General features: G+C 34.9%; 1 long non-coding RNA gene across 1 annotated transcript in view; it reads left to right on the top strand.

The window, feature by feature from the left end:
* Nucleotides 1-7,658, top strand: part of LOC107984998 (uncharacterized) — a 67,115-nt gene extending 59,457 nt beyond the window's left edge. Inside the window, exons 2-5 of the long non-coding RNA XR_001738111.2 lie at nt 5,500-5,543; nt 5,629-5,781; nt 5,877-6,006; nt 6,484-7,658. This is a non-coding gene — a long non-coding RNA (uncharacterized LOC107984998). The remainder of the gene's footprint in view (nt 1-5,499; nt 5,544-5,628; nt 5,782-5,876; nt 6,007-6,483) is intronic.
* Nucleotides 7,659-12,339: the final 4,681 nt, after the last annotated feature.

Here is a 12,339-nt window from a genome sequence, read left to right as displayed (position 1 = left end):
AAAGATGCATGAGAATTTGGATTTCTGCACTTTCTTTTTAGTCCTGTTTGACTGTATCTTCATTCCCTCACCATGTAGCAGATGTGATGAGTCATATATCAAACACTGTAAACAGCTTTCCACCACCAGAGCTGCCATGTAGGCGAAATGTGTTCCCTTGCCAATAAACTCATGCTTTCTCTTCAGTTATACCAATCTGTAAGTTGACTTTATACATTATGTGTTTACTTGTCAAGCTGTGTATTGATTCGTGATGAGAAGAAAGAATTTTTAAAAAATGAGAAAATAACACATATAGACTCCAATAGTCTTGGACCACCGTGCTGTGCTAAAGAAGAAACAGAGATCTCTTTTGCATTTTTTTAAAAATCCAATATCCTCAAAGACAACTTGGCCCTCATAATTACATTTTTGTCTTTGAGTATCTGGCATTCTTGGGTCAAGTTATTTATCAAGAAAATGTTCCAATGGATCACTTAAATTTTTATCTCAGAGAGGATAGGAATCTAAAATTTTGTCTAACCATGTCATTTTAAGTTTTCTGAGATGGCATGGGTAGATTTCAGTTCTTCTGACCTGGAATTCTGTTGTTTAAGTAATAGAGGCAAAACAACCTGGGGGTTCACTGAAAATCCTATTGAGTCATTATTTTATAGCTTTCATAGACAAACCCTTGTTTAACTTTTTTTTTTTTTTTTTTTAAAGCAAGTGAAATGTTTTCTCCACTTCGAGTTAGGAGGAGGGGGATGGTAAACAGTGAATGGTTAAGACATACCTCTTCTGCCAAGGTTAGGTAATGAGAAAAATAGGCATATTACATATTTTAAGAAAATTTACATTGTTTTGACTTGCATTGGGTAAAATTAAAAAGCAAACTATCTCAAACATTGCTTTTCCACTCACTGTCTTAAAATAAGTATAATTGTTTAAGCAAATCTTGAGTAGGCAGTGTAAGGAAAGGAAAAATAGCATAACAGATGTTAGGCACCGTGGCTTACGCCTGTAATCCTAGCAATTTGGCAGGACAAGGTGAGGGGATTGCTTGAGCTCAGGAGTTCAAGACTAGCCTGGGCAACTTAGGGAGACCCTGTATCTGCAAAAAGTACTAAAAAATTATCTAGGTGTGGTGACATGTGCCTGTGGTCCTCCTCGAGAGGCTGAGGTAGGAGGATCGCTTGGGCCCAGGAGGTTGAGGTTGCAGTGAGTTGTGATCACACGACTGCACTCCAGCCTGTATGACAGAGGGAAACACTGTCCAAAACAAGATTAAAAATATAGATTTTTTTTAAGGCACATATTCCTTATGGGAGAATGATGCAGTATAAAACATGGAAACTATTTTGATAGATTCAGAGAAGAAATAAATAGAACAAAGACAAAGTAAAAGATAATATGTACAGGGTGCCAAAGATATGCACACAGAAGCTGGTGGTTGAGAACCCTGAAGAGAGAATGAGCAAATTTGCCATTCATGTAGTAGGCAAGAGGAATGAGATGTTGTTATTGCTTTTAAATCTCCCACCATGTTTATCATATTGAAACTCCAAGGATATAAGGTAGATAATATTTAGTTTTGTTTTATTTTTGTTTTGTTATAATTCTCACATACTATAAAATATTTAGATAAATAAATCACAAATCCTGGGCCAGAAACAGAAATATATTACACCTGTCTTGATATATCAGAATGAAAATGTGAGAAAAAAATACCATTAATTTCATTGCACATGATAAGAGTTTATTTACTAAGAGCTACATCCTCATAAATGGGAGACATATTAGCTTATTGCCTAATTGTCACTTTGAAGTCATTGCAAGTAAAAGCAAGTTCTACTTCTCTGCAATAAATCTACGTACCTTCAAATGATTCAGAAAAGTCTAAGTGCAGGATGTGTGTCCTGATTTTCCAGGGACGAAGGAGCTTTTGGGGGCACAGAACTTGCAGGTTTAAAACTAGAAAAAACAGCTTATAACCCTAATGAATCCACAATTACCAGGGAACCCTAATTATAACCCCTATATATCAATGGCACAAAAGACTTAAATATACTATTCCACTACCTGAAAACCCAGATATTGATGATCCTCCTCTGTCTCACAGATAAAATAGAATGGAGATTATTACCTATCAAAAAATGGAAGATACCATAGAAAAAATATATAAATATATCTATATATGTTATACCGATATAAATTTTGGTGAGTGATGTTGCGAGTAGTACTTCAATTAAAAAATAATTATTATTCTTCATCATCATGGGGTTTTTTGAAGGAAAATAAATACTGAATTCCTCCATGCAGAGAGTTAATTGAGGGAATTATACAGCCAAATTTCTCATTTTGGTGCAGTTTGTTAGTTCAGAAACAAAAGCTTCTTGCATAAAATAAGGCATAAAAATAGTGGGGTAAAGGAGTACAAAATTTGAATGCAGTGAGAAATGGCAGTACCAGAAACATTGTGTATTGTGTAGAGCACTAAGGACATTTGACAACTGAGAGAATAGTCTTTGAACAGAAATAGAGAGGGAGAGAAGGTGAAGAATATGTAAGAAAGGGGGTGAAGGAATATAGTAGCTCCTATAAAACTGAAGAGTTCAGGTAAGCAAGAGTGTGGGAAGAAAGGCTGTTTGTAATAATTTCAGGAGAGATAGCAGAGTTAATAAAAATATAAATCATTTGGTACTTAGTCACCATAAATAGAGATCTGTAGTTCTGATGTCCCTGACATATATGAAACAAAATATGTATTTAAAAATGTCAGTGGACCAAGGAAACAGATACAGTTTTGGGGGAGATGTATTTTAGGGAGTAGCTCGCATCATAGGTGATTGTATCCAGTCTTAAGGCTTGAAATATCATTTACATGCTGATAACCCCCAAATTTATATATATAGCACAGACTTCTTTCCTGAGCTCCATACCTGGCTCAAAACTGAATATTGACCTTAACAACATGGCTCAGTGTCCATTTTCTTCAGCCTGGCCTCCTCCCACCATTTTCTGTCGCCTTTAAATCTTTGCCTATGGAGGACAAGAGCAGAAAGGAGAAAATGTAACATGCTCAAAATAAAATTTTAGTTCCATCAAATTTATCACCAGTGTATTAGTCCATTCTCATCTTGCAAATAAAGACATAACTGAGACTCTGTAATTTATAAAGGAAAGAGGCTTTATTGACTCACAGTTCAGCATGGCTGGGGAGGTCTCGGGAAACTTACAATCATGGTGGAAGGAGTAGCAAACATGTCCTTCTTCACATGGCAACAGCAAGAAGAAGTGCCAAGTAAAAGGGGAAAAAGTTCCTTATAAAGACGTTAAATCTTGTGAGAACTCACTCATTATCATGAGAACAGCATGCGGGTAACCACCCCATGATTAAATCACCTCCTAAAGGCTTCCTCCCCCCACATGTGGGGATTATGGGAACTACAAGTCAAGGTAAGATTTGGGTGGGGAAGCAGCCAAATCATATCAACCTGCTTCATCTCCACTATTTCCTACTTCTTTTGATGGTACTATGATGGTATACAATTGACACCTGCACACTTGTGTTTTCTTTCTCCTTTTTCCTTCAGATTCATTGTTCAATTCATCATTGAGTCTCTTTGTTTGTATACCAAATATATCCAGGTATAATAGGTTGCCGCCATCTCCACTTCTATCTCCCTCTCTTGCTTTAATCGTGTGGTCTACTTCAACAGCCTCTGCATCAATCAGAACCTGAAGAGGAAAGAAATGGCATCCTCAAGCTGGGTAATTGAAGAGACTACTTGCAAAGTATGGGAAGGGCTTAGGAAAAGCAGCAAGGAATGGTGCTGCCCTCTAGGAAGGGAGATATAGTGACATTGAGAGGGTTTTATCACACCAGGTTTAAAAGGTAAGAGGAAAAAGAAAGCTGCATGATGACTGCCAGCCGTCCATAGTAGGACAAAACCAGCCTGGGGAGACACATCAGAGAAAAACAAATCCCTTACCTCACTCTGCTGCTTCACTCTGATTTCCTATCAGTATCCTCATTGGCTAGACTCAACAGGAAGTCACAGGGCAAGGGGGCCTCCTGATTCATACAGTCTTTGCCAGTCAGTATTCCAAAGCACACGTGCAGTGGAGAAAGGTGCACACAGGACGAAAGACAGCACATCTTCTGGCTGGTTTCCTCATTCCATTTTGCCTCACTGCAGTCGATTCATCATTTTCAAGTCATCCCCACAGAGAAATATTCCTTATGTGCCTTTCACAGTTTCCAACGCTTAAGCTACTTATTTTTACTCTTTGTCTTATTATGCAGTGTCATTTTCTTCTGTCATCGTCACATGTAACTATCCAAAATAATTGTATAGATGGAAGGATTGATGGATGAATCAGTAATGGACATTTTAATGTCCTGTCTCTCTCCACAAAAATGACTCTAAACTCCATTGGACAGGGATTTAGTATGGTTTGTTCACTCCTGTATCTGGAGTATCTGAAACAATAGTTCACCCAGTAAATACTTGTTAAATAAATTAATGAAGACATATTTGTATTATTTGAAATAATGCAGTTGATAATAAGGGGACAAGATATTTGATAAAGTAAGTTAAAAAAGAATACTTGTGATTCGTCTTAGAAGAAATGCTTCTTGTACTCACAGAAGACTGTCTCCAATTGTTTTTGGATACTATAGAAACTGTTGTATAATAACAATCACTATTTGTAATCTAGCCTTCCTTTTATTTGTTCACAATCAAGTACCACTTGTTCTGCCACTATGACAGCTTATCTTTTTTATATATCTTAACTGTTTAATAACCTCAGTTGATTGACTTGGTGATACATAACTATTTTTTTCTGGTTACTATATCAATCTAAGGAAATAAATTATTTAATATTATATGTTACTTGTCTAACACTTCATGCATTATTTAATTTGATTTTCACACTAATAATTATAATTATCCTTATTTTGCAAATTATTAACCTTGACACTCAGAGAATAAAAGTAACTGCCCCAAAGCTATAGAGCCTATGTAAAATAAAACTAATAATCATCTCAGTAAATGTTTAAAATGTTTTATCATTAAAAATACCTTACATCCTGAAAAAGAGAAAAATACATAAAGTAAAAATTAAATATCAGGCAAACACAAACATCAAGAAAACACATGGGTATGTAGACCACCACTCAGGTTGACAATTCTTTTATTTACATTTTATTAATAATTATGTATTCATGAAGAAAATATTTAATATTGTATGTTTTGGGATTTTATATAAATGTAAAAATGTTATACATGCCCCTCTGTGACTTGCTTCTTTACCTCAGTATTCTATTTCAGGGATTCATTAATGTTAATTCCAATACTTGTTAAATCATTAATGTTCACTGATATATAATATTCCACTTTATAATATCTCACAATATATTTCATCCATTCTACTGTTGACAGGTATTTGAGTTATTTCTTCTTGGGAGCCATTTAAAACAATGCCACTATAAACATTCTGCATCTTTTTCAGAAAATATAAAAGTTCCTGAGGGTATACACCTGAAAGTAAAACAGGTAGGTCTTAGATATGCATATGTTTATCCCTCTAGGCAATGCCAAATTGTTTTTTCATACTTGTTCTAATTAACATTTCCCCTAGTGGTAGATGACTGTGAAGGCAGAATAATGGCCCTCCAAAGATGTACACATCCTAATACCTGGAATCTGTGAATATGTTACCTTACATGGCAAAAATGATTTGCAAACATAAATTAAGAACCTTCAGATGGGGAGACTATCTTGGATTATCCAGGTTGGTACAATAAACAAAGGCCTTTAAAAGGCAGAATTGTCCATTAGAGTGATTTGATGTGAGAAGAATTCAACCTGCTTTTGCTGGTTTTGAAGATGGCAGAAGGAGCCATGAACAAAGGAATATGGGCAGCCTCTAAAATCTGGAAAAGGCAAGGAAATAGATTCTCCCCTACAAGATCTGGAGACCAGTGAGACCAATATTGGACTTCTAACTCACAAAACTGTAAGAAAATAAACCTGTGTCATTTTAAGTTTGTGATAAACTTATCACTAACATCTAACATATTTTATATTTTAGTTTTTTTATTCTTTCTTTACCCACTAGAATGTAAGCTTCCTAAGAGTAAGAATTTTCTATTATTCTTAATTGAAAATTAAATCAGTTTACTGCTGACTGCCTAATGCATAGTGAATCCTCAAGAACTATTTATTGAATAAATGAATGAATACATTGGGCCTGGTCCTTATGCACTTCTTGAGTTCTGACTGCAAATTGCACAATTTCCGTTAGACAGAGGGTAAACAGATGTTCCCTTAGACACCATTTACATTTTTTCCTACCAGGTGGCTGGAAGCATTACCAGCTTGGCATCACTTTAGCATAATTGCTGAGTCTCTTCAGATACATTCTTGGTATTTTAGCTATTCTAAATTTACACTACAAATCTATGAGGTCCTTCTTCTTGCTTTAACTGTTCAGGTACTTCTGCTGCTCAACATCAAGATTCAAGGAGTTCATCACTTGGATGAGACTGGGGAAGAGGATGGGTATTTTTTGTTCACCAGAATACTGAGAATTGCAGTATATCTTTTTAGGATAATACTTTTTACAGTGAGATTTCCTAGTAGTCACCCTACGGTGATCAGGACCAGAATTTTCTCTTCTGTCCCTTGTGTCCCTAAAACTCATGGGAAACAAGATTGGAGTTCATCAAGTTCAGCAAATGCTCTCAAGGCCAATGCCAGCTTCAGTGTTCAACATACCATGGTAAGCTCCAACCTTCCCTTAATTAATCCCAAGTCTAGGTATTTCTCATTTTCTTATCAGTTCATCATATGCTTTTGAGGGAATTTTTCTCCATTTTGGGAGAGGGTGTATTGACAGAAATAAAGTCCCCAGTCCCCAACCGATCACATTAGAATCTCTGTCCACCTGAGAGAGGCAGGACAATCATACATGACTAGGCCCCGAATAGAGGTCATCACACAGCTACCAAATAAAATGGATTGTGAAATACTTCAGATTGACTAATCTTATTAATTTTTCCAGTAATATACAATTCTTCCATATTCCTATAGAATCTACTAGACCCATTTTTAGCACTGTTCTCTTATTTTTTTAATTCTTCAGGTCTTTGGAATGTGAATTTCATAACAACAGGGAATTTTTCTTGTCATGACCATTGGTAGTTCCCCAGTACCTACATAGGTACTCTAAAATTTTTTTTTAACTAATTGTGTGAATTGAATAAATGAATATAAAATTTAAGGTGTTTATTACAAGACAATTTTCCCCCCAATTTTGCTATAGTACAGCTCAGGTTATAAGATATCAAGCTATGTATTGACACTAACTTCAGAGAAGCTCATTTTTTAAAATAAGGATGATGTAGCCACAAAACCAACGTGCTTCTAAAAACAGAAAGAATACTACCTGACTTTTTGCTAGTAATTCATGATTTTAAAAACTTTCGATAACAATGCTTTAGCCAATAGAGGTTACAAAGAATTTTTCATAAGCAGTACCGCACTGTAACCCCCTACAGCTTTGTGAATTATAAAAGGGAAGAAAGCTATGGTTAGAATTTTAGGCAAGAGAATGCTATGCAGCCATAAAGAATGATGAGTTCATGTCCTTTGTGGGGACATGGATGAAGCTGGAAACCATCATTCTCAGCAAACTATCGCAAGGACAAAAAAACCAAACACCACATGTTCTCACTCATAGGTGGGAATTGAACAATGAAAACACTTGGACACAGGAAGGGGAACATCACATACTGGAGCCTGTTGTGGGGTGGGGGGGCGGGGAGGGATAGCATTAGGAGATATACCTAATGCTAAATGACGAGTTAATGGGTGCAGCACACCAACGTGGCACATGTATACATATGTAACAAACCTGCACGTTTTGTGCACATGTACCCTAGAACTTAAAAATATATATGTGAAAAGAATTTTAGGCAAGAAAAATTCTAATGCCTTATGGCTGATTCATGGCATTGCCAGGATTATAAATTAATTCGTGTGTATTCTATTTCAGAGCTTTCCTTTCTTGCTTCAATATTACTTCACTACAAACACTAAATTCAGTAACCTAGATCCCTAGTGATACACAGATAACCCTAAATGAATTGTTAGTTATGAAAGTTCTACCTTAGGAGTCACTGATACTAATCAATCAGTTAACAATGGCAATATGTTACATTAAAAAAACATTACACATGTGTCTGTGCTTTTTCTAAAAAGAATCTGGTATCTCTGAAACCTAACATTTATTTTTGTAAACAATCACAACTTACATGTTGAAATCAATTCAGTGTGTATTTTACACAAAAAAAATTTAAAGAATTACACAAGGCTGTAAAACTAAGATAATTAGCCATTTGCCAGAATTTCTGACTGCTGCTACATGGATTCACATGTTAAATATCAAATATTTTATTTCAACCTAAGTTCTAATAATAGTGGGATTGGCAGTATTTTTGAAGAAATCTTACTCAAAATCCTTTCCATAGCAAGAGTAGTTTGGCCATGTAAAATGAGGTAATACCTATATCTGTCCAAAAATTTATGTTCTAAAGGAAATAAAATGATTTTCCTCTTGATTCTGGGTCATCCTGAAAAGGGATTAAAGTTTCTGGAATGAAATGCACAACTTTATTTATGTATTTTTCTACATGAAGAATACTCAAATGTTAATGAACAATTAAACATTAGGTACCGTTTTAAACTTACTATTTTATTTTTTATTAAATGTCAATAATGTCCTATTTTGGCAAATTTACTAAAAAGCAAACATGTTAGAATATTTCTGATGGCAACATAATTTAGAAAATTAATCTTGAAAGCCAATTTGGCAATATTTATTGTAAGTTTTATTAAGTGTTCCCAGGCTTTGGATTCAGGTGTATCATTTCTGGGAATTTATTCTGAAGAAAAAAAAAATCCTATGTAAAATAACTATATTTAACTTTTTTTTTGCCCAGTAATAGGAAAATACGTAAATAAAACATGACACATTTACTCAGTGAAATATCTTATAACAAATATAAATTATCGTAGACTATGTGGCAGAATGGAAAACTGTTCAACAACAACAAAAAAAATGAGAAATACAAACACAATGGGAGCTAATCCTAAGTATCTAAATACACACATGGAGTTCTGATTTTCAGTGATTTATAGGTAGATTATTGGAAAATATAGTGCCTTATGCTACTTTTAAAGTTAATTGATATTATGGCCTAGCCTGAAAATTCAAATTTATAACACTTGGAAAGAAGACAGATAGTATTTGAGGCTTGATTGAATTCTACATAAGAGGGTAAAAGAGAAGAGTAAACACTGATTCTTGGCCAATCAGTTATGTATTCAAAAAATACATGTATTTATTGGATTCTTTCTCTAGGCCAAGTTGCATGCTAATACAAAAATTGGTATGTTAAGAGTCCTCAATGAGCTTAAATTCTTGTCCAATCTGTGGCCTAGGACAGCTTTGTAAACTTTCTTAAAACATAATGACGGCCATGCACAGTGGCTCACACCTGTAATCCCAGCACTTTGGGAGGCCGAGGTGGGTGGATCACGAGGTCAGGAGATCGAGACCAGCCTGGCCAACATGGTGAAGCCCAGTCTCTACTAAAAATACAAAAATTAGCTGGGTGTGGTGGTGCGTGCCTGTAATCCCAGCTACTCGGGAGGCTGAGGCAGGAGAATCACTTGAAGCCGGGAGGCAGAGGTTGCAGTGAGCTGAGACTGAGCCACTGCACTCCAGCCTGGTGACAGAGCAAGACTCTGTCTCAAATAAATAAATAAATAAATAAATAAATAAATAAAATTATGAGATTTTTTTTTTTTGAGATTTTTTTTAAGGTCATCAGCTATTGTTATTGTTAGTGTATTTTATGTGCAGCCCGAGACAATTCTTCTTCCAATGTGGCCCAGGGAAACCAAAAGATTGGACACTGCTGTTCTAGTAGGGAAAAAAGTGAACTAACTTGGTAAAGATATAAAAGCAATATGACCTGCACTAAATGTAATCATGAGAATATTTTTGCTAATTCATTAACTTATTCAGTAATTCATTCTTTGGCATAGTATTGTGGTAGCAAGCCTGAGCTTTGGAGTCAAAAATCTTTGTAACACTGGGAAACATACTTAAATTTGCTAAACTTTGGTCTCCTCATCTGCTAAATGGGCTTAATAATATCATCAGATTTGACGTGATAATTAAATATAAAAATAGGCATAAAGCACCCAGGTCTATATACTGCTCCTGAAGTGTTAAATCTTCCTGCAGCTTTTCCTGTTGATTCTGGGTCATCCTGAAAAGGGATTAAAGTTTCTGGAATGAAACGCACAACTTTATTTATGTATTTTTCTACATGAAGAATACTCAAATGTTAATAATTCTAACAAATATTTTCCTCAGATTCGCCAGTATCCTTTTCTACTAAGTGAAGATTTTGAAAGATCTCTTCAGACTGTTTAAATATCAAAACTTAATAGTTTTAGGAATTCAGTGTAAATGAATTAGGAGTAGGCATATTAAATTTTCTTTGAAATACACCAAATGTTTATAGCTAACATTAAATATTAAAGACAAAGACAAGGATTTCCAAAATACATGCTAAATCTCCAAACTGATACAAAAAAAAGGTAAGGAAAGTTTTCATAGAATTATCTTTTTAAACATTATGTCATATAATCAATATATTTAGTCTGCAGAGGCAAGACTAATCTAAGATCTCTCCTGACTTTTAGCCCTGGATATTATTAATGAGCACTGCATTAACTTCCAGTTTTGATAACAAATATGCTTTAGTTGTCTTTTTCTTGCACAAAAGGAATGAACCCATACTTTGCTCATTGGATGGCTTTCAACTGAAAGAAAGAAAGAAAGGACACAAAGATGACATTAGCCATATCACACACTCTAGGGGATTTCAATATTACTAGGAATATTATATTCCTCTTGAATAAAAGCTTCCAAAGAGCGTGACACATTATTTCTTCAAAGAAGCTTTCCCTTTTGCCATCAATTGACATGGCTGAGAAATTACTCTTATAATTCTTCATAAGTGAATATGTATCCTAATCAGAACATTCACATAAGGTTATATTTCCCAAAGTGCTTTTCGATCTATAACTTGTTTGGGATATTATATTTTTCAATGCAAAGCTGCTTGATGAGTATGACTCAGTTGTCAGGTTAAATGTACAAGTAATCAATAATACATTTCTAAGTTTTCCAATGATTATTTGCATTTGTATAACTAAAGAGAAAAAAATACTGGTAGGAGAAAATGGCTCTTCTTAGTTCTCAGAGAAGCTATGAGTCATTTACTCTCACGTACTTATGAAGTCTCACTTATTCCTGCAAACAGAAGAGGTAAGTTGATGTATGATTCAAAAGCATGAATAAAAACATGCTGTTGTATTTGGCTTTGCTTTCTTGACATCTAACCTGCAACCCAACTGCTGAGTACGACTTCAACAGATTAAAGTCGTGGCTCATGATGCAATCTGGAAAGGAAGTAATTCAATAAGTTTTGTATAACATACAACACAATGCTATCTGTTCTGTTGATAGCTAAATAAAACACATTTTATTCCTGCTTCCATGATAAATTAGAATTAAAAGCTAGCTGATTTTTTTTTCACTGGCATATACATAACCCTGAATTAAGATTTGGAAAATTTCAATTTGGTTCTGGCGATCTCATTAACTCATCAGCTTTGTTTTTATGTATTATAACTAGTATTGCCTTTCCAGATCTCAAGTATTTCGTGTGTACAATTATAGAATTGGAGTAAGCCATCACTGGGGCACTTTCTGGATTTTAAATTCAGTAGGTCTGAAATTCTGACACCGAAGCTGACTGTCTCAGTTAAGGAAAGTGTTTCAGAACACTAACCTATTTCCACCTGGACACACATCCAGCAATTAGATGTTTCTATACTTTCTTCTGCTCCCACTCTTTCTTGGACCACCCCACCACTTCACTAAAACTGCTGATTTAAGGACATCAAATGACTTCCATGTTGATAATCCAGTGGTCAGTTCTTTTTCCTCTAGACTTTTACACGGCATTTAATACAACAAATTACTTGCTTTTTCTTGAAACATTTCTTCTTCTGGTTCCTGGAACATTATTAACATCGTTCTCTCTTATATCTACCTCAGTATGTGACTCCTCCCACACTTTTGCTTAATCCCTTTTTCTTGACCTTTAATGACTGAAGTGTCTCAAGCGTCATTTCTCAGATCTCATCACTTTTTCATTTACATTCATTAGCTAAGTGATCTTATCAAGTCCTGTAGCCTTCAAAA

Source organism: Homo sapiens, chromosome 1, assembly GCF_000001405.40.
Source record: "Homo sapiens chromosome 1, GRCh38.p14 Primary Assembly".
In the NCBI taxonomy this organism is placed as follows: Eukaryota; Metazoa; Chordata; class Mammalia; order Primates; family Hominidae; genus Homo; species Homo sapiens.
Note: the sequence above shows the minus strand (reverse complement) of the source record. Positions and strands in the feature narration are given on the sequence as shown.